The sequence below is a fragment of the Homo sapiens genome, chromosome 4, assembly GCF_000001405.40.
Source record: "Homo sapiens chromosome 4, GRCh38.p14 Primary Assembly".
Classification (NCBI taxonomy): Eukaryota; Metazoa; Chordata; class Mammalia; order Primates; family Hominidae; genus Homo; species Homo sapiens.
In genome coordinates this window covers 42,534,950-42,559,042 of record NC_000004.12, presented here as the reverse complement: position 1 = coordinate 42,559,042, position 24,093 = coordinate 42,534,950, and the positions used below count along the sequence as shown (strand labels likewise).

The 24,093-nt window shown below is 36.7% G+C and overlaps 1 protein-coding gene across 12 annotated transcripts in view; it reads left to right on the top strand.

Moving 5' to 3' along the window:
• The window catches only part of ATP8A1 (ATPase phospholipid transporting 8A1), a 248,733-nt gene that overhangs the window by 98,063 nt on the left and 126,577 nt on the right, over window positions 1-24,093 (top strand). For all 12 annotated transcript variants that reach the window (NM_001400027.1, NM_001400026.1, XM_047449508.1 and 9 more), the window contains 5 exons: window positions 3,003-3,075; window positions 6,433-6,538; window positions 7,763-7,845; window positions 9,981-10,030; window positions 15,057-15,126. In NM_001400027.1, coding sequence (NP_001386956.1) covers window positions 3,003-3,075; window positions 6,433-6,538; window positions 7,763-7,845; window positions 9,981-10,030; window positions 15,057-15,126 — 382 coding nt within the window. The remainder of the gene's footprint in view (window positions 1-3,002; window positions 3,076-6,432; window positions 6,539-7,762; window positions 7,846-9,980; window positions 10,031-15,056; window positions 15,127-24,093) is intronic.

The window sequence follows — 24,093 nt, the reverse complement described above, 5'->3', positions numbered from 1 at the left end:
CCACCAGACCTGGCTAATTTTTTAATTTTTTGCAGAGACAGGTCTTGCTGTGTTGCCCAGGCTGGTTTCAAACTCCTGGCCTCAAGCAGCCTTCCTGCCTCAGCCTCCCGAAAGTGCTGGGATTACAGGCGTGAGCTACTGCACCCGGCCTGTTGCCATAGTTTTTGCTATGCAGAAATATTTAGATTTATGTAGTCAGATTTATATATTATGTTTTCTGAATTATATATGATACCTAAGCTTTTTCCATTCCTAAGTTTTTTTTAAAAAAATGTTTCACATATCTTTAGTACATTTATAAAATCATTGATCCATCTGGAGTTTATTTTGGTTTACAAGGTGAAAAGTATGGATTCAGCTCTTTTCTTCCTTTTCTCTGATGGCTCTCCTGTTGACATGAATTTTGAATTTAAAAAAAAGTCTTAGTACATACTGTCATATGCAAGGACAACTATACTGATTAAGCCATATATTCTTTGAATATTTTAATTTTTATTGCTATAGAGATTCTTCATTTTTGTTTGATCAGAAAATGAGTAGTTACAATGTATCATAACTTTTAAGTCAGCCTAAAGAAGCTGCAAATTATATGACATTGTGGGTTCCCTGCTCTGTTCTCCTTACCTTAACTGTGATACTCCCTGCCTTATTGCTTCTTGCAAAATACCATAACGTCATTGTCTCCTTGGGAGCAAAGTGACACTCAAAAATTACTAGGCAAAGATGTAACCAAATGTTGATGTTGGCTTGCATTTTTATTTGTGAAAGTTTGACTAACAGTCCTATTATTTTTACTTTTAATGTGATGGTTCTTATTTTTAACTGATATGAGCTTGCAAATTTTATCTGTTTATTTTTACTAAAAGTAAATATTTTGTAAAATTTTGGAGAGGAGTGGTGGAAGCTCCATGCCAGAGTTATCCAACCCAGGCTGTCTGATTAGAGGATGAGTTGTTTCTAGTTTTTGTTTCTGGTTTTTTTGTTTTTGTTTTTGTTTTTGTTTTTGTTTTTGAGATGTAGTCTTGCTCTGTTACCCAGGCTGGAGTGGAGTCCAGTGGTGCAGTTTCGGCTCACCGCAACCTCCACCTCCCAGGTTCAAGCGATTCTCATGCCTCAGCCTCCCGAGTAGCTGGGACCACACCTGACTAATTTTTATATTTTTAGTAGAGATGGGGTTTCATCATGTTGGCCAGGCTGGTCTCGAACTCCTGACCTCAGGTGATCTGTTCACCTCAGCCTCCCAAAGTGCTGGGATTACAGACATAAGCCATGGTGCCCAGCCTGTTTTGGGGTTTTTTAAATTATCTTGGGAAGGAAGTCACTTTCTAGAAGAAGAGTTCTTTAGCATTATCCCTGACAGAACTTTCATTACTGAATGGAAAATGGGGTATGTCCATGTAAATATTTCAATTGCATATCCAGAGCTACTCAAATATAAATATGTTTGAAAATTAAGTCAATTATAGTAACTGATTTATAAAATGAAAGAATTATTGGTGAGATTAATAAGGCATATCTTCAGATTTAAACGGCTTTTAGTCTGGAATTCTTTGGAAAGAAAATAGACTTCTTGCAAGATGTTACTGTGAATATTCCTTGACATTTGTTTAACAAGTAGAAAAGTACAGCTACAAACCATTTATGAATATATTTTAATAGGAAAATTTCATAAAGCCCCAAGTAATGAACTCTTTTTAATTAATGGTGATATTTGGAGGATAAATATATGCTATCTTTTTCTTAGATTTTTTTCCTTCCATCTTCAAAATTAGAGAAATAATGATAATGATGATGATGACGTGTTCACTTTGGCCCCCAAGGGTATTTTGATCATTCTAAACTACTACCTGCTAATAAAGATGTATTTTCTTACGATTTGGAGACTTAATAGAGCAAGTTACTACATGTAGATATGTGTTCCATTATAAACATTCTAACTTCCTCCTTAAGTTTACTGGAGAAATGTGTTTCATTGAAGATACTATGTATGTTCTCTCCTTTCAAATTCTGTTTTCTTCAAAGAGTTTTCCGTCCTGTCAAGCTGCTGCCTTTACAATATGACAGTCTTGATATCTGACATGTTGACATTGATAATACTCTTTGTAACCTGTTAATGTTGTGATCAAAAGCTTTCTGGATTATAATTGTTTAGTATTGGACACATTTTTTTCCCTCAGTGAAATCTGAAATTTTCTTCTGTGCACTAAACCTCAAATGTATATATTTTCACTAAATTTTGCAAACTATACCCTTTTCTTTTGACATTCCCACTTGTGTTCCTTGTTTTTCCTTTGAATCTCAGTATTTTTATGTTAAATTGTATGGCCGTGAGATAAATGATAGCTAGTTTGCAGAGATAATTGACTCCATTTATATCGTATGAAGTACATAATACATTTGCTCATCTGAAGATAGCCACAACACAAAAATTCCATACTTTTATTATTTGTTCTTATATTTACAGAACAAATGTAATATGTTTATAAATATTTGCTCAGATATTAATGATAGATGTTGATATAATCTGTAAATGGTTTATTCATGTTCTTATATTTCATATGGTTTTCATCACTACATATAAAGATTTCTCATGACTCAAATAGAAGAATATTTTGTATAATAGCTTTCGTTAATTCTTAGAATCCTAAAAATTGAAAATATTATGGAAGTGGAAGAAATTCAATTCCAGGTGTTTTAATAGTTTTAGTTTTATATTTTTACAAATTTTATGTGGCTGCGATATAATTTAACTCCAGAAAAAATGAACTGTAAAATACTATTTTTCATTACACTGCAAACATCTTTCACATTTTAGAATGCTTGAATATATTTTGTGATACAATCATGAAATCTGTGATGTCTTACTTAGAAATGCAGGCCAAATTACATTTAATTTATTGAGGGTTTGGAGACATAACACTTTACTCATAAAGTACATTAACAAATAGATCAGTGGGCTGGTATAAATGAACTGGGTTTACTCTATTTTTTACCCCCTTCAGGCAGAACTCACAGTTTGGAGATGAAAAAACATTTAGTGATTCATCATTGCTGGAAAATCTCCAAAATAATCATGTAAGTTACATAAAACCATTGTCTTTTTGTTAGTGAATAAAAACTAATGAATGTTTCTCTGAACTATCTTCTATGTTTACATGTTTCTCTTTTTTTACTTTCATGATCTTTTATTTATTTATTTAGTTAGTTAGTTAGTTATTTGAGACAGAGTCTCACTCTGTCGCTGGGGCTGGAGTGCAATGGCGTGATTTTGGCTCACTGCAACCTCTGCCTCCCAGAATCAAGCCATTTCTCCTGCCTCAGCCTCCCCAGTAGCTGGGATTACAGGCACTCGCCACCACACCCGGCTAATTTTTGTATTTTAGTAGAGACAGGGTTTCGCCATGTTGGTCAGGCTGGTCTTAAACTCCTGACATCAGGTGATCCACCCCCTCAGCCTCCCAAAGTGCTGGGATTATAGGCATGAGTCACCGTGCCTGGCCTCATTATCATTTTTAATAATTATCAAAATCTATGCCAAATCCTTTTTACTTGGCCAACATTAATTCATGGTGGTTATTAATTTGATTTTAATATTATCATTCATCAATATTCTGTCTTTTCAAATTGTTTCATTTTAAATGATTATTGAACCTTCTGTGATACAATTCAATATTAACAATTTTAGAAATAAGTTATCGAAATAACTTATAGAAATAAGTTATCTGCTCAGTACCATAGGCTAAATATACAATAGAAACTCTGGCTTCTGCCACCCAATGTGAAAATCCTGCTTATGAAGTTACTGACTGTATTAGGGTTCTCTAGGGGGGGGCAGAACTAATAGGATAGATAGATAGATAGATAGATAGATAGATAGATAGATAGATAGATAGATAGATAGATTAGATAGATAGATAGATAGATAGATAGATAGATAGATAGATAGATAGATAGATACACACACAAAGGGGAGTTTATTAAGTCATATTAACTCACACAATCCCACAATAGGCCATCTGCACACTGAGGAGCAAGGAAGCCAGTCCAAGTCCCAAAGCTGAAAAACTTGGAGTTCAATGTTTGAGGGCAGGAAGCATCCTGCAAGGGAGAGATGTAGGCTGGGAGGCTAAGCCAGTCTAGCCTTTTCACAGTTTTCTGCCTGCTTTATATTCTGGCCATGCTGGCAGCTGATTAGATGATCTGCCTTCCCCATCCCACTTACTCAAATGTTAATCTCCTTTGGCAGCACCCTCACAGACACACCCCCAGGATCAACACTTTGCGTCCTTCAGTCAAGTTGACACTCAGTATTAACCATCACACTGACACTCAGTTTTCATAAGATCAAGTTATAGAGTCTTCTGGAGTTAAACCCCGGAACTTTTTCTCATAACCACTTCAAACCCAGTATGTCCCAACTTGAACTCATGATTGTTACCCTCAAATATGCATCTTCTCTAGCACAGGTGGACTTGTCACTTTTGCCCAAGTGGGGCCCTATCAGTATGTTGCTAGGGGTGTTTTTGTATCTCTCTTTTCTGCGCGAGCCTTCAACAAAATATTAACTTCAGGATCTACAAAGCCTAGCCCTAGACCACCTCTTCCCTCTTGGATTCTCAGCTTTCAGTAAATCATACCATCACCTATCTTGTGACTCTTCTTAGGAATTAGAGGGTTGTCTTTGATGCCTTCTTTTCTCTCCATGTCCAGATCTCTGAGTCACCAAGTCCTTGTTGGCACTGATTGCTAGAATCTATCTTGGGTGTCGGCTGCAGTTAATCCTCATTTTCACCACCCCAGTCCAGACCGCCAGCACCCACTCTGTGGATTCCTGTGGTAGCCTCCTGGCCAGTCTCCTGGGTTCCATTTTTACTCTTCTCCAGTTATTGTTGCCCATGACAGCTGAAAAATGCAAATGGAAATCAAGTCCCCTCACTATCCTGTTTAAGCCTATTCTCTGCGTTCTCTCTTCACTCATAAAGTAACATGATCTGGCCCCTGCCTAAGCTGTCACCCTCACTTTGAGCTCCTTTCTCCTCATCCCACTGGCTGCCTTTTATTTTCTAAAACACATCGTTTTTTTCCTTCTTTACGACCTTTCCTGCTTGATGGAAAGCACTTTGCTCAATTCTTCATGAGGCTAAAACTTCATCAGCTCAAATATTACATTATCTTGAGAATAACCACAGACTCGCTCAAGTCACATTACATGATATTTGCATATTCCCTTCTTTACAGTGCTTGTCTTGCTATAAGTAAACAATACGTGTATATTTATTTGTGTTCGGTCTTCCCCACAACGCCAAGCTTCACATGGCAGGGACCATGTCTGTTTAGTCCACTGTTCTAGCTTGAACACAGTTTTTTCAAATAATGTTCTGATATATCTCCCTAGTCACTTCACATTATTATTTTTTTTTTGCCCAAGAGCATAGAGAAATGTTTTTCCTTTATTAAATTGAATGACATTTCTCTTTATTGAGAGCCAGACAGGAAGATATGTAATTTAAAATATCTGGCTTCTCTCCTATAAACCCTAAGCTCCGTGCAGAAAGGATACACCCTTCTGTCTTCTCAGGCTGTAAGAGTCCCCTGGACATAGGAGTTGTTCATAATTTTTTGATTCATTAAAATATGAATAAAGTTACCATTTTTGGAGAGGAAAGACAAAGCATTATAGAAAAATCCTCAATCATTATCACCCCAACGCAAAGTATAACCCCAGTGCAGTAAGATTGCATGCCTAAAATTTAAATCTGATCAGGAATTACAACTAGGTAAATGAACATCTTCGAATTTTTATCCTGTCCTCCAACGACAAGATTCAGCTACATCTGCCTTTCTCACTATACTATTTCTATTTGACAACACCAAGTTGTCTTGTATAAATGTTTAGAAAAGGAATGAAAGAGTAGAAAAATAATTTGAATTAAAAAACACATTTTCTTTATAATTGATGTTGGCTTCTTAGTTGGCTATAATCCCACACCCCCAGTGTATAACAGCTATGTTTTTATGGGGTTTTGTTTGTTTATCTTGTTTGTTTTGTTTTGTTTTGAGACGGAGTCTCACTCTCTTGTCCTGGCTAGAGTACAATGTTGCAATCTCAGCTCACTGCAACCTCCGCCTCCCGCCTCCCGGGTTCAAGCGATTCTCCTGACTCAGCTTCCCGAATAGCTGGCATTACAGGCGCCTGCCACCACGCCTGGCCAGATTTTGTATTTTCAGTAGAGACGGGGTTTCACCAGGCTGGTCTCAAACTCCTGACCTTAGGCGATCCACCCGCCTCGGCCTCCCAAAGTGCTGGGATTACAGGTGTGAGCTACCATGTCTGGCCAACAACTATGTTCTTAATAGACATGAAGTAATATTACTGTCAGTGTCAAAATGTTCACATGAGAAGGGCTTAAATTATGTGTTTATTTTTCACAGCCAACTGCACCTATAATATGTGAATTTCTTACAATGATGGCAGTCTGTCACACAGCAGTGCCAGAGCGAGAAGGTGACAAGATTATTTATCAAGCAGCATCTCCAGGTACAAATGAAGCAATTGTAAAGTATTGTTTTGTGGAAAATTGTTCTGAATGTAAAAGTCAATTTAATTTTAAAAAGATAGCCAAATTGAGTGTTTTTTAGATAAAAATTTTTATTTACCAATTAGAAAAACCTTGGCTTTCAAGGTTAAATATGTACATGATATTTTAAAATGTGTAACTTTGTATATGTAATTTTTGGCATATTACATAAGTTACATGAAAATGTGAATAACGTAATTCTCATAAGTGAAAAATGTACTTTTTTACATACACATAATAATTTTTCGCTTCTTTATAAATACCTAAGAACTCTTAGTCAAGCTGATTTTGCACAGGTACAAATAGGAAAAGGAAGAAGTGTTCGCCTGAATATAGTAAGCTTATATAACTTTAGAACACCAATTTTGCCTTCCTCTTTTGTTAATGATAATAAAGAAGCTTGTGTATTTATTTGGGTGAGGAAAGTTTTACGCATTTGAAGGGATTCCATAAAATATTATTAGTACAGTTATCAGTATTAAGTACTTAGGCTTAATTTTAGATCTGTTTTCAATGTAAAGTTGGGCAGATAGTCAGTTTGATGAGAACTTTGTTAGAAGTGTTTTAAACTGCATTCTAAGCCAGCATCTGTGACTTATAGGATATACTAACTTCCTTAAAAGCATAAGAATTGTTATGTCTCATATCATTAGGGTAGAAACTATGTGATGTTTTCTTATGCCATACCCTACTCTAGCAATAAAAAGGTTTTATTTAACATGATGAAATTCATAGACATTAAAATCATTAGTTCATTTAAAGCTTGTTTAAACTGAATCCTCAATTAGCAATATTAGTTTCTCTAGACTCAACATTTTAGGAGGAAAAGGATAAAAGTTTAGAAGGCAATTTTCTCTGATTCCTTTTGAGAAAGTTTTCTAGCAAATACACTGGATGAAAGGGTACATTTAAATTAAGCTTCTTAGGAATTTGTGACTAACAGTGAGACTTGACATTTCGGAAATGTAACTCTGAGTTCTGTATGTGTCTCCAACACTTAAGATTATTATCCTCATTTCTTTGGAATTGTCATGTAATTTTAAAATAATTGGATTAATAACATGAGCCAGAATAAAAAGAACTTTAATTAAACAGAAAATTATATTACCTTAATGTACTTCTCTTGTGCTGAGAATATTTTTTTTTCAATCATGTGTTTGCTTTTACCTCTTTTTCTAAAACAGATGAGGGAGCATTGGTCAGAGCAGCCAAGCAATTGAATTTTGTTTTCACTGGAAGAACACCCGACTCGGTGATTATAGATTCAGTAAGTTAGTTGTTTTTAAGGTTCTTTTTAATCCAAGTAATACATTTGCATAGCTTCAAAGATAAAGTAATACCAAAAGGCTCATAGTAAAATAGAGGTTCCCCACTCCAGAAGCAACTACTGGGTGTTCTTTTAGCTATTTCTTTAGGCATTTATACATCTCATATTTTCAAAAAATAAAGGTGACTATTAATACATGTTTTGACTCTTCAATTTTAATGTATCTTCTGATTCTGTTACATGAGGGTGTATCTCTTGAATCACCATCCTTTTAGTTTATCCTTCCTCATACTCAAATTATTATGATTTTATTCCAATTTTTAGTTAAATACTCAGGCCCAAGTTTTAAAGTGGGCAAAAGACTTGAGCCAACATTTCACAAGAGAAGCTATATGGATGGCCAATAAGCATGTGAAAAAACATTGTTAGTCATTGGGGAGATACAATTAAGACCACAGTGAGATGGCACTACATACCTACCCAAGTGATTCTCCCACCTCAGCCTCCCAAAGCACTGGGATTACAGGCATGAACCACTGCACCTGGCCACTTTTTCTTTTATTTTCTAAAGACTAAATTTTAAAAATGGATAGCACCAAATGTTAATGAGTGTGTAGAACAAGTGGGATACTCATATACTGCTAGCAGATGTGTAAAGTGGTAAAGTCCCTTTGGAAAACCTTACAGAGTTGTCTAATTGAGGTAAACTTACACCTGAGCCAGCAATTGTGCTCATAGTTATATAGCAGAAATGGAAGTTTCTGTTTCTAAAAAGACTTGGAACAAAATGCTCCTATCAGCTTTATTCAGAGTAGCCAAAAACTAGAAACCAAACCAAATGCCCATCAATAGAAGAATGGATAAACAAATTGTGATACAGTCTCACAATGGAACATCTAAACAATAAAAAAGAATGAGTTATTGATTCATCAACAGCATGGATGAAAAATGAATCAAAACATGAATCAAAAACATTATGCCGAGCAAAAAAAAAAAAAAAAGCCAGACACAAAGGAGTGCATCCTTTTTAATTTCATTTTTATGCAGCTCAAGATCAGGAAAAAGTGATTTATGGTGATAGAATTCAGAACAGTGGTTGCCTCAGGGCAGGGAAGAGGTTGATTGGAAAAGGGCACAAGGGGATTTATAGGATGGGAATATTTTATATCTTGATTGGGGTGCTAATTACCACACTGCACAATTTTCATTTGACTCTGTGTTAAAGGTCTGTGCATTTTATTATATATAAATTGTCTCATTTAAAAATTATTATTTAGTTTCTGTGTAGTATTGCCTTCTATTTTACCTGTACAGTATTCATAGCTGAACATCGTTGTATTTGGTAATTATTTTTTTGTTTTTTAAATTTTGTGTTTCCCAACACCAATTATTTTTTTTAGAGATGGGGTCTTGCTCTGTCACCCAGGCTGGAGTGCAGTGGTGCAGTCATAGCTAACCATAGCCTTGAACCCCTGGGCTCAAGTGACCCTCCTGCCTCAGCCTCTAAAATAGTTGGGATTATAGATAGGCATGTGCCACCGCACCTGATATTTTTTTTAATTTATTTTTTTAATAGAGATGGGGTCTTGCTATATTGCCAAGGCTGGTCTTGAACTCCTGAGCTCCTTTGATTCTCCCACCTCAGCCTCCCAAAGCACTGGGATTACAGGCATGGCCACCAGACCTGGCCACTTTTTCCATCATTTTCTAAAGATAAATCTCTTACCTGTTTGTTTCATTGCTTCCCTTTTTTCCCCCCTATTATCTATATTAATTGTTCCCATACTTTCTAGTATACTTTTCTCAATACAGTCACACCACATAATCTGTTCATTGGCAGTTCTTTCCTTACGACATCCCTTTTGAAGCCCTCCATTCTCTTGTCTGGACAGGTTATATTCTAAGAACTCTTCGGTGACACTTTTTGGTTTTCCTTTTGGTTTTCTCCTGTTTTGGATTTTCTGTTTCCTGTAACTCAATTTACGTAAAAGTTAGTAAGCTCCCTTCCATATTTCAGCAGGGAAAATTTGTTTGTGTTGGCATTTTTTACAGTAAAATTTTATGGCTAGGATTTATTTCCTAGAAGCTTAAGACTTTTCCAACTGTATGTAATTATATATTCCTTTTCTTCTTAGCTGGGGCAGGAAGAAAGATATGAATTGCTCAATGTCTTGGAGTTTACCAGGTAAAACATCTGCTCAGTGATTTGTATGGATAAGATAAATTTATATCCATTTTTATTTTTTCCCTTTTGAATAACTAGAAAGTATGTTTTGTTTTTATTTAACTAAATTTGTTTAGACAAAATATTAAATCAAAATCTTTAGTACATTTTTTATTCTCATTATCTGTAGATAAATTACAAACCACTTTCTTCAGAGTATTGCAATGCGTGACTACTGGTTGCAGTTTTAAAGTCTTTTTGAAAGTTGATCTCATGGAGGTAAAGAGTAGAATGATAGATACCAGAGGCTGGGAAGGATGTGTGAGTGGGAGGGGAAGGGATAAAGAGAGGTTGGTTAATGGGTATGAACACACAGTTATGTTGAAGAAGTAAATTCTGATGTTTGATAATAAAGTAGGGTAACTATAGTTAACAACAATGTGTTGTGTATTTCAAAATACTAGAAGAGAGGACTTAAAATGTTCCCAGACATACAAGTATTAAATAATCAAGATCTTGCATATCCCAAACACCCCAATTTGATCATTATAAATTCTGTGCATCTAACAAAATATCACATATACCCCATAAATATGTACAAATACTGTGTATCAATTTTAAAATTTAGAAAAAGAAATCGTTTTGAAATATAGCTGCCTGATTCACAAGCCCAGCGTATACGGCCATGCGTCTTATGGCTGGTGATCTGGAAACACAATTATGTTTAGAGGCATCAGATTTATGTGGGGTGGAGATGAGTCGGGATCAGGAAGCCGGCATTCTAATTGTATGCTCATTATATCTAATTGTCTTCAGGATTTGAAAAACCGTATTCTTGTCTCTGTTAAGTATAAGACCAGTTACCATCTGTTAGGAAAGGACAGAAAGCAAAGTGATTGTCCTACTTATTTTATTTCTTAAGGTCGAATAATAGATCCCTTCAGTTATAATCAGTGATAAGCCTGTGAGTTTTCAGCCTCTTACTCCCACGTGACAATGTAACCTGCTTACCTGCATTCTTGAGGCAGAGAGGCCCTTGCTGCAGGGTCTTTAAAGACTGCGTGACCATTCACAGGACACTTCACAGAATTAAGGCCATGAGGAAGTAATGCTGCTGCTCAAGGAAATAAGTGTCCATCATTTTTCTTGAACTTTCTTCTGCATAAGACAAACTTGTACATTGCTTAGGAAAGGCATTTCTCTTTCTGTGCCAACTTTTGTTGCTGTCTTGATTAGGAGTGACCATATGCCAGTGGTTAATAACAAAAATAATGCAGTCTGTCTGACTTATTATTTAAAGCTTTTTTTAACTTAGATACTCTGAAAAGCCCAAAGAAGATGAATACATTGAATAAACAGAATGGAGTATTTTCAAAGTGCACTCCTCGTCTCTTTCTTTTCATGTCAGAGTGATTGCTTTTCCCAAGCTTATTTGTATTATATCTGTAGACTGTCATTAAGTAGTCTATTAATTGCCATTTAGATACGTTTTTTAAACCACACTTAGAAAGCACTATGCTAGGTGATGAGTGCCATGAAGAAAAAAATAAAGCAGGGTTGGGAGTTTCTGTTCTTTCAGGACTCAATGATGAAGGTGGGTTTAAGAATGAACATGAGAAAAGTGAATATGATGCTGTTAAATAGTCCCTATGAAAGACATTAGTGGTTTAGACTAGGATGATGGTAGTGAAAATAAAAGGAAGTTAATAGAATCCGTGTACCTTGTAGAGGAATATCTGAGAGACTTTGTGAGGGATTGGCAGTAGAAGGCGAAACGAGGAAGGGGTGAGGGTCTCTGGCATGAACAACTGGGTAGATAGAGGTACCATTTACACAGATGGCAGAAGTGGGAATAGGAATAGATGTGGAGGTTGAAATGTTTGAAGTCTTAGGTTTTAGATGACTGTGAGACATACAAGCAGAGCTATCAGGCAAGCAGTTGAATATAAGGGCCTGAAACAAAAGAGAAATCTATGGCTGAAATAGCAATTTGGCAGTCAGTGGTTGGTAAGTGGTATTTGAAGTCATAAAACTGAATGGGATCTCCTGAAGAGAAGATATAAAATGAGGGGGAAATGGAAGGCTGAAGATTAAGCCATGAGGGTAAGGGTTGATTAGAAAAAGAGGAATCAGCAAAAGAGACAACCTTGTTGTTAAAGATGTAGAGGACAGAGAGAGGGTCATAGCACAGAGCCAGGAGAAGAGGATTCAAAGAGAGAGTGGTCATCTGTGTCGGAGACTGCTGCAAGGTTAGGTAAGAAGTTTGAGAAGTATTTGTTGAATGTAGCTATTCATTGTAATGGTGAGGAGAGAAGAAAAAGGAAAAGACTGGGAATGAAGGGGATAGATGAGTGATGGTTTAGAGAAGGTGAAATGTGAAAGAGTTGAAAAGGGATGTGGCTTAATGGAGGAGTGGTTGCATCGGGTGAGTTTTTTTGTTTTTTTTTTTTTTATTATACTTTAAGTTTTAGGGTACAGGTGCACAACGTGCAGGTTTGTTACATATGTATACATGAGCCATGTTGGTGTGCTGCACCCATTAACTCGTCATTTAGCTTTGGGTATATCTCCTAATGCTATCCCTCCCCCCTCCCCCCACCCCACAACAGTCCCCGGTGTGTGATGTTCCTCTTCCTGTGTCCATGTGTTCTCATTGTTCAATTCCCACCTGTAAGTGAGAACATGTGATGTTTGGTTTTTTGTCCTTGCAATAGTTTGCTGAGAATGATGGTTTCCAGCTTCATCCATGTCCCTACAAAGGACATGAACTCATCATTTTTTATGGCTGCGGGGCGAGAACAGAGTATGTTAAATGCTTATCACCAGGATCCTTACAGAAGGAGAAGAGGCAGATTCTGGGGAGAACAGCATAACCTTTGGACCGAGGTTACTGAGAAAGTGAGATGAGAGGAGGTTCACAGGCATGTGTAAGGAAGGCCTCTGATAAGAGGAAAATGTTTCTTCCATCATATCAGGAAAAAAGATGGAGGAGATGGTGCACACATAGATATGCAGGTTTTAATGGCAGAAAGAAAAGGGATTTCTTCCCACCCCCAAACCGAGACAGAGTGTCTCTCTGTTACCCAGCCTGCAGTACAGTGGCTCGATCTCAGCTCACTGCAACCTCCGCCTCCCAGGTTCAAGCTATTCTCATGCCTCAGCCTCCTAAGTAGCTGGGATTGCAGGTGCACATCACCATGCCTGGCTAATCTTTGAATTTTTAGTAGAGATAGGGTTTCACCATGTTGGCCAGGCTGGTCTCGAACTCCTGACCTCAAATGATCCCCCTGCCTCAGCCTCCCAAAGTGCTGGGATTACAGGCGTAAGCCACCATACCCGGGCAAAAAGGGATTTCTTATCTGAGGTTTTTATCAAGGTGAATTTTTGTCAAGCTTCTGGGGTGAGGAGGGAACGCGGGAGACTTGGAGAATGGAGAAGGTGTGCTGTAGCCCTGCACAGTGCAAGAGAGCAAGCTTGTTGGAATGTGCTGGGTTACTGGGCAGTAAGGAGCACCCAGTTGGTGTTGTATATCATGTATTTGCTAGTCTCTATGGCCGGGTAACTTTTCTTCAGCAACATCTACCTACTTTGATGTAACACAAAAGAGAGTTCTCATTCACCCAATATTTGGAGGTTTCACCAGGAAAAGAGAAGAGCAAGGACATTGATGAGTTTGGGACCACATTATCAAAGCTGGAGTAAAAGAGGCATGAATCAGGAAGGGCTAACGTAGAATGTATAGGTGTCATTACAAAGGAGGCCCAATTAAATGTATTCCTGATGTACAGGGATAGAGACTGGGGTAGTAATACCAGGAGCATTATGGATAAAGAAAGAGGGAACTTAAATATTCCTTTTTTTTTTTTTTTTTTTTGAGACGGAGTCTCGCCCTGTCACCCAGGCTGGAGTGCAGTGGTGCAATCTCGGTTCACTGCAACCTCCACCTCCCGGGTTCGAGCGATTCTTCTGCCTCAGCCTCCTGAGTAGCTGGGATTACAGGCACGTGATACCATGCCTGGCTAATTTTTGTATTTTTAGTAGAGACAGGGTTTCACCATGTTGGTCAGGCTGATCTCGAACTCCTGACCTTGTGATCCGCCCGCCTCGGCCTCCCAAAGTGCTAGAATTACAGGCATGAGCCACCGTGCCAGGCCGGGAACTGAAATATTTCTAAATACCTCTGAAAGAAACTCCTGACTGTACACTATGATACCATAACTGACTGCTTCTGCATATTGAACTCATCTCAGTTTTTTAGCTGGTAAAACAAATAGATACAGACATTTGAGTAGTCCTCTTCTGCCCTCAGTTCTGAGGAGGATGCTTACACACTCATGGTCCAAATGAGTCCTATCCTTTGTAATGCTGTCGCAGTTTCTTCCATTCAGTGTTATTTGCTATCTCTTTTTACTAATGCATTGAAAGATGTACATTTGACAGACAGTTCTTATTAAACTATGTCATCAACAGTATTAAAATATTTGTGCTCTTTAGCTTAATTTTGCTGCATAAATTAAGTTTTTAGCATGATGCCAGTGGTTTGCTAGTCATCATTGAAAAACTAGTTGTGAATGCTTAAGTTGTTTTTTAAAGTACTAGTATTTGCCTTCATGTGTGATGGGGTGTCACTGATTGTCATTTGTATTTTTAATAACAATTGATTTGTATTGATATTTCTATTTTTCATAAAAACTATAACATAATTTATCCTTTAAGAAACCAACTTAAATATTTTTTCAAATCCGAAAACATTGAACTAGGACTTTACTCTGGTGGGTATGAGCTCTTGTAGGTTTCTTAGGAACTATTTTGTCAACTATTCCACTAGAAGAGTAGATGGTACCCTGGTGCCTTAAAAGCATAATGTAACTTTTACAGGTGCCCAGCTGTACACCCAAGGGATAGTTTGTGTATGTGGAAGGTTAGGGCTCATGATTTGGTCAGATTTATTTTTTTACTGTGAATATCAAAATATGTGAGGCATGACAAACACATACATGCATATCCTTGGTATGATGACACATTATGCAAAACCTCTTTCTTTCAGTGCTAGGAAAAGAATGTCAGTGATTGTTCGCACTCCATCTGGAAAGTTACGACTCTACTGCAAAGGAGCTGTAAGTTTTTATTTTTATTTTTTACAGTTATAATTTATGATGGTTTATAATGTATATGTTAGGCATTCTATGGAAATGTAACACAGATGTTTAACATGAAGTTGCTGACATCCACTTTTGTTGGTGTTTTATAGTAATAGTGTTCAGCCTCTTCTGGTGAAATGTGGAATTCCTTCTGGGTAAATTTGGTGCTTTGAAAAAGTTTGGCCTAGGTTATTTTTATAATTCAATTTTTGATACATAATATTTGAGGTTTATACTATATAAATTGTTAGAAGACAGTTAAATACAGAAAATATTTAAAAATTGTATTAGAATGTGATTCACTCTAGTTTGAATCTAATTTTTTAAGAGCATAGAAATGGGGGAAAATTAGATCACAGTTACTACCATAATTATGTCATGGGACTAATTTGTCTTGCATTGTTTTAATTATAACAATTTCTGACATGGCTTTGGTATATTGGCAGCTTATATTGACAGAAATAGTAATATGTTATTCTAACTGAATTTCTCCAGTTAAATATATTTATACTCATGGGAAAATGAGAAATCTGACCAGGGCCCTTTTTTTTAATTGAGATGAGTCAGCATTTTCCTTCTGAACTGTTCTTTCCATTTACCTAGTTTATAACCTTCCCAACTTGGAACATTCCTATTTTGAATAGAGTCAACAACCTTGCTTTGTCTCATAGAAACTCGGAAATTGAACTTAAGAAGCTCAAGCCTATTATTTAAATTCATTTTGAGAATGTTAAATGCCTTGGTTTAAAGACAATGAAATGCAATTTTTGAATGCCTTGATTTTAAAGCATTTTGGTAGAATTATTTCATGATGTCTCATGAATTTAGTTTTAGAATTCTTTTGATTTTGTATTCTCATCGATTAAAACACCTAACATTTTTTCATTGTATGCATTCTACCATCACAGTTCGAACTGCATTTTGGAGATAGGAAGATAAGACCTAAGACTTGTCAGGAGCTTAGACTAGTCAGAGAAATATTAAATAAAAAGAAGATTGGGATACAATTTTAAAGTGTATTGTAAAGATCTTCCACATCCCAAAAGTAATATTCAGTGATAAGGGAATAAAGAGAGACTTTAACACATATACACCATGGAATACTATGCAACCATAAAAAAGGATGAGTTCATGTCCTTTGCAGGGACATGGATGAAGCTGGAAACCATCATTCTCAGCAAACTATCACAAGATCAGAAAACCAAACATCGCATGTTCTCACTCATAAGTAGGAGTTGAGCAATGAGAACACATGGACACGGGAAGGGGAACATTACACACCGTTGCAGGGTGGGGGGCTGAGGGAGGGATAGCATTAGGAGAAATACCTAATGTAAATGATGAGTTGATGGGAGCAGCAAACCAACATGGCACATGTATACCTATGTAACAAACCTGCACATTGTGCGCAGGTACCCTAGAACTTAAAGTATAATAATAAATAAATAATTTTTTTTAAAAAAGAGAGCCTTTAAGACCTTCCACTTTAAATGGTTGATAAATGTCCAGTTTACAAAACCCGAATCACATCCTTTCTTGTATAGTTTGGAATCATCTTCTACCTAGAAACTTGTTTGAGGAGTTAAAGCTTTGAATAAAAAATAAAAAATGATGGACTTCCATTTTTAATAATCATAGAATTAGCTTGCATATATTTTTGCTGTTCTGAAAAAAAATTTAATATATTTCATATAGACTTTATTTTTAAAGCAATTTTAAGTCCCCAGCAAAATTCAGCAGAAGATAGAGTCCACATATACACCCTGCCATCACACACACACATAGCCTCCCCATTATCAACATCCCCCACCAGAGTGGTACATTTGTAACAATCCATGATCTACACTGACACATCATTATCACTCAAACCCTAGACTGTACATGAGGGTTCACTCTTGGTATTGTAAATTCTATAGGTTTGGATAAATGTGTAGTGACATGTATCTACCATTATGGTATCATATACAGTATTTTCATTGCCCTACAAATCCCCTGTGCCCCGCCTAGTCATTTATCTCTTCCCTCAAGGCCCTGGCAACCACTGTTGCTTTTACTGTCCCCACTGTTCCTTTTACTGCCTTTTCCAGAATGTCATATAGTTAGAATGATATGGTATATAGCCTTTCTGGACTGGCCTCTTTCACTTAGTAATATTCATTTAAGGTTCCTCCATGTCTTTTCATGGCTTGAGAGCTTGTTTCTTTTTAGCACTGAATAATCCATTGTCTGGATGTGCCACAGTTTATGCGTTCACCTGCTGAAGGACATCTTGGTCTCTTTCCAATTTTGGCCATTATATGAATAAAGCTACTGTAAACATGCATATGCATGTTTTTGTGTAAACATAGGTTTTCATCTCATTTGGGTAAATACCAAGGAGAATAATTGCAAGATCTTACAGTAAGAGTATGTTTCATTTTGTAAGAAACTGACAAACTGTCTTCCAAGTGGCTATGCCATTTTGCATTCCCATTAGCAATTAATGAGAGCTTTTGTTGCTCCACATCTTCACCCACGTTTGAAGTTGTCAGTGTTTTGGATTTGGGCTATTCTAATAGATGTGTACTGGTATTTTATTGTTGGCTTAATTTCCAGTTCCCTGAAATATGATGTTGAACATTTTTTCATATGCTTATTTAACATCTATATGTCTTCTGTGATGAGGTATCTTCAGATCTTTTGCCCATTATTAAATTGGTTGTTCATTTTATTGTAGTTACTTTTTTATTTTTTTAATTGTATTTATTCATTTATTCATTTATTTTTAGAGACAGGGTCTCACTCTGTCACCTAGGCTGGAGGGCAGTGATGTGATCATAGCACACTATAACCTCAGATTCCTGGGCTCAAGTGATCCTCCTGTCTCAGCCTTGTTTTTATTACTTGTACACATTTATGGGGTACATGAGAAATTGTTACATGTATATAATGCAGAGTGATCAAGCCAGGATACTTAGAGTGTCCATCAGCTTAGTACAATACATCTTTTGTGGAGTATAGTCACCCTACTCGGGCTATCAAACATTGAATTGATTCCTTCTATCATACTGTATGTTTGTACTCTTTAACCCAGTCCTCTTTATCCTCCCTCCTTCCATCCTCCTCCCTCTGTCTCACCCTTCCCTGTTGGTGTTTGTACTTTCTACCTCTATGTGATCATATTTTTTTTAGCTCTCACATATAAGTGAGAATATGCAATGTTTGTCATTCTGTGCCTGGCATATTTCACTTGATAATGACCTCCAGTTTCATCTACGATGCTGCAAATGACATGATGTCATTATTCTTTATGGCTGAATAGTATACCATTGTGTGTATATACACCTGTTTTTTTTTTTTATCTATTGGTCTGTTGATGGACACTTAAGTTAATTCCATATCTTTGCTATTGTGAATAGTGCTGCAATAAACATGTGAGTGCAGGTATCCCCTTTGATATATTGATTTTTTTTTTCCTTTGGGTACTTACCCAGTAGTGGGATTGCTGGATTGAATGGTAATTCTAGTTTCTTTGAGAACTCTCTATACTATTTTCCATAGTGGCTGTACTAGTTTACATTCCCACCAACAGTATGTAAGAGGTCCTTTCTCTCCACATCCTCGCCTACATCAGTTATTTGTTGTCTTTTTGATAATAGCCATTCTGACTGGGGTAAGATACATCTCATTGTGGTTTTGATTTGCCTCTGATTGCTAGTGATGTTGAGCATTTTTTTCATATACTTGTTGACCATTTGTATGTCTTCTTTTGAGAAATGCTTACTCATGTCCTTTGTCCACCTTTTAAGGGAATTATTTGTTGCCTGTTGTTTCAGTTTCTTGTATATTCTGGCTATTAGTCCTTTTTAGGGTGAATAGTTTGCAGATACTTTCTTCTATTCAACAGATTCTCTTCACTCTGTTGATTGTTTCTTTTGCTATGCTTTTTAGTTTAATATAATCCCATTTGTGAATTTTTGTTTTTGTTGCCTGTGTTTTCAAGATCTTGGTCATAAATTTTTTGCCTAAACCAATGCCCAGGATAGTTTTCCCTAGGTTTTCTTCTAGTATTTTTAAAAGTTTGAGTCTTATGTTTGTTTTTAATCCATTTTGATTTTTTGTTTTCTTTGTATATGGCAAGAGATAAGGGTTCAGTTTCATCCTTATTTAGGATGGGTTTTTAGATTTCCCAGCACCATTTATTGAAGAAGAAGCATGACCTTTCTCCAGTGTATGTTCTTATCAGCTTTGTCAAAGATCAGTTGGTTATAAATATGTGACTTTATTTCTGGGTTCCCTAGATTTATGTGTCTATTTTTGTACCAATACCATGTTGTTTGGTTACTATAGCCTTGTAATAAATTTTAAATGTAGGTAATGTGATGCCCCCAGCTTTGTCCTTTTTGCTCAGGATTATTTTAGCTATTTGGGCTCTGTTTTGATTCCATATGAATTTTAGGATTATTTTTTCTAACTGTGAAGAATGGCATTGGTATTTTGTTTTTGTTGGGGGGGGGGTATTTTATTTTATTTTTTAGTACATGAATAAATTCTTCAGTGGTGATTTCAGAGATTTCCATGCAGCCATCACCCAAGCAGTGTACGCGATACCCAATATGTAGTCTTTTATCCCTCACTCCCCTCCCACCCTTCCTCTCCCCCCAGGTCCCAAAGTATGTTGTATCATTCTCGTGTCTTTGCATCCTCATAGCTTAGCTGTCACTTATGAGTGAGAACATATGATGTTTGGTTTCCCATTTCTGAGTTACTTCACTTAGAATAATCATCTCCAATTCCATCCAGGTTGTTGCGAGTGCCATTATTTCACTCTTTTAATGGCTGAGTAGTATTCCGTGGTATATACAGATACCACATTTTCTTTATCTACTTGTTGATTTATGGGCGTCTGGGCTGGCTCCATATTTTTGCAATTGCAAATTGTGCTGCTATAAACATGTGTGCAAGTATCTTTTTTGTATAATGACTTATTTTCCTCTGGGTAGATACCCAGGAGTGGGATTGCTGGATCAAATGGTAGTTCTACTTTTAGTTCTTTAAGGAATCTCCACACTGTTTTCCATAGTGGTTGTACTAGTTTACATTCCCACCAGCAGTGTAAAAGTGTTCCCTTTTCACCACATCCCTACCAACATCTATTATTTTTTGAGTTTTTGATTATGGCCATTCTTGCAGGAGTAAGGTGGTATCACATTGTGGTTATGATTTGCATTTCCCTGGTAATTAGTGATGTTGAGCATTTTTTCATGTGTTTGTTCACCATTTGTATATCTTCTTTTGAGGATTGTCTGTTCATGTCCTTAGCCCACTTTTTGATGGGATTGTTTATTTTCCTCTTGCTGATTTGAGTTTGTTGTAGATTCTGGATATTAGTCCCTCATCAGATGCATACTTTGTGAAGATTTTCTCCTACTCTGTGTGGGTTGTCTGTTTACTGTCCTGATTATATTTTTTGCTGTGCTTTTTAGTTTAAGTCCCATCTATTTATCTTTGTCTTTGTTGCATTTGCTTTTGGGATCTTGGTCATGAAGTCTTTGCCTAAGCCAGTGTCCAGAAGGGTTTTTCTGATATTATCTTCTAGAGTTTTTATGGTTTCAGGTCTTAGATTTAAGTCTTTGATCCATCTTGAGTTGATTTTTGTCTAAGATGACAGATGAGGATCCAGTTTTATTCTTCTACATGTGACTTGCCAACTATCCCAGCACCATTTGTTGAATAGGGTGCCCTTTCCCCACTTTATGTTTTTGTTTGCTTTGCTAAAGATCAGTTGGCCATAAGTATTTGACTTTATTACTGGGTTCTTCATTCTCTTCCATTGGTCTATATGCCTATTTTTATACCACTACCATGCCGTTTTGGTGACTATGGCCTTATATAGTATTATATATAGTTTGAGGTCAGGTTATGTGATGCCTCCAGATTTGTTGTTTTTGCTTAGTCTTGCTTTGGCTTTGCAGGCTCTTTTGTGGTTCCATACAAAATTTAGGATTATTTTTTCTAATTGTGAAGAATGGTGGTGGTATTTTGATGGAAATTGCATTGAATTTGTAGATTGCTTTTAGCAGGATGTCATTTTTACAACATTGATTGTACCCATCCATGAGCATGGGATGTGTTTGCCTTTGTTTGTGTCGTCTGTGATTTCTTTCAGCAGTGTTTTGTAGTTTTCCTTGTAGAGGTCTTTCACCTCCTTGGTCAGGTATATTCCTAAGTATTTTTATTTTTTTGCAGCTATTGTAAAAGGGGTTGAGTTCTTGATTCTCAGCTTGGTCACTGTTGGTGTATAGCAGAGCTACTGGTTTGTGTGCATTAATTTTGTATCCTGAAACTTTGCTGAATTCATTTACCAGTTCTAGGAGCTTTTTGGAGGAGTTTTTAGGGTTTTTAGGTATATGATCATGTCATCAGCAAACAGCGACAGTTTGACTTCCTGTTTATCAGTTTGGATTCCCTTTATTTCTTTCTCTTATCTGATTGCTCTGGCTAGAACTTCCGTATTATGTTGAATAAAAGTGGTGAAAGTGGGCGTCTTTGTCTTGTTCCAGTTCTCGGGGGAATGCTTTCAACTTTTTCCCATTCAGTATAATGTTGACTATGGGTTTGTCATAGATGGCTTTTATTACCTTAAGGTATGCCTCTTCTGTGTCAATATTGCTGAGGGTTTTAATCATAAAGGGATGCTGGGTTTTGTCAAATGCCTTTTCTGCATCTATTGAGATGATCACGTGGGGGTTTTTTTGGTTTTTTTGTTTTTTTTTTTTTTGAGACGGAGTTTCGCTCTTTTTGCCCAGGCTGGAGTGCAATGGCACGATCTCGGCTCACCGCAACCTCCACCTCCTGGGTTCAAGCAATTCTCTTGCCTCAGCCTCCCAAGTAGCTGGGATTACAGGCGTGCACCACCATGCCTGGCTAATTTTGTATTTTTTTAGTAGAGACAGGGTTTCTCCATGTTGGCCAGGCTGGTCTCGAACTCCAGACCTCAGGTCATCTGCCCGCCTTGGCCTCCCAAAGTGCTGGCTGGGATTACAGGCATGAGCCACCATGCCGGGCCTGGTTTTTGTTTTTAATTCTGTTTATGTGGTGTGTCACATTTATTGACTTGCAGATGTTAAACCATCTCTGCATCCCTGGTATGAAACCCACTTGATCCTGGTGGATTATCTTTTTGATATGCTGCTGGATTCAGTTAGCAAGTTTTGTTGAGGACTTTTGTGTGTATGTTCATCAGGGATATCGGTCTGTAGTTTTTTTTGTTTTATCCTTTCCTGGTTTTGGTATTGGGGGATAGTGGCTTCATAGAATGACTCTGAAAGGATTCCCTCTTTCTCTGTCTTTTGGAATAGTGTCAATAGGATTGGTACCAGTTCTTCTTTGAATGTGTGATAGAATTCAGCTGTGAATTAGTCTGGTCCTGGACCTTTTTTGTTGGTAACTTTTTAATTACCATTTCAGTCTTGCTGCTGATCTGTTCAGAGATTCTGTATCTTCCTGGTTTAATCTAGGAGGGTTGTATATTTCCAGGAATTTGTCCATCTCCTCTGGGTTTTCTAGTTTATGCACATAGAGGTGTTCACAGTAGCCTTGAATGATCTTTTGTACTTTGGTCGTATTGGTTACATTATAGTATCTCCTATTTTGTTTCTAACTGAGCTTATTTGGATCTTCTCTCTTATTTTCTTGGTTAATCTCACTAATGGTCTATCGATGTTATTTATCTTTTCAAAGAACCAGCTTTTTGTTTAATTTATATTTTATAGTTGTTGTTTCAATTTCATTTAGTTCTGCTCTGATCTTGGTAATTTATTCTGCTGGGTTTGGGGTTGGTTTGCTCTTGTTCCCCTAGTTCCTTGAGGTGTGACCTTAGATTGTCTGTTTGTGCTCTTTCAGACTTTTTGATGTAGACATTTAATGCTATGAACTTTCCCCTTAGCACCCCTTGTGCTGTGTCCCAGAGGTTTTGATAGTTTGTGTCACTATTATTCAGTTCAAGTCATTTTTTAATTTCCATCTTGATTTCATTGTTGACCCAGTGATCATTCAGGAGCAGGTTATTTAATTTTCATGTATTTGCATGGTTTTGAAGTTTCCTTTTGGAGTTGATTTCCAATTTGATTCCACTGTGGTCTAAGATAGTACTTGCTATAATTTCTAATTTCTTAAATTTGTTGAGACTTGTTTTGTGGTCTATCATGTGGTCTATCTTGGAGAATGTTCCATGTGCTGATGAATAGAATGTATATTCAGCATTTGTTGGGTACAATGTTCTGTAAATATCTGTTAAGTCCATTTGTTCGAGAGTACAATTTACGTCCATTGTTTCTTTGTTGACTTTCTGTCTTGATGACCTATCTAGTGCTGTCACTGGAGTATTTGAAGTCCCCCACTATTATTGTGCTGCTGTCTATCCCCTTTCATAAGTCTAGTACTAATTGTTTTATAAATTTGGGAGCTCCAGTGTTAAGTGCATATATATTTAGGATTGTGATATTTCCTGTTGGATTAGTCCTTTTGTCATTATATAATGTCCCTCTTTGTCTTTTACTGCTGTTGCTTTATGTTTGTTTTGTCTAGTATAAGAATAGCTACTCCTGCTTGCTTTTGGTGTCCATTTGCATAGAATATCTTTTTCCACCCTTTTACCTTAAGTTTTATGAGCCCTAATATGTCAGGTAAGTCTCTCAAAGACAGCAGATACTTGGTTGGTGAATTCTTATCCATTTACATTCAATGTTAGTATTGACACGTAAGGTTCTATTCTATTCATCATACTATTTGTTGCCTGAATACCTTTTTTTTTCATTGTGTTATTATTTTACAGGTCCTGTGAGATTTATGCTTTAAGGAAGTTCTATTTTGGTGTATTTCAAGGATTTGTTTCCAGATTTAGACTCCTTTTAGAGTTCTTATACTGCTGGCTTGGTAGTGGCAAATTCTCTGAGCATTTGT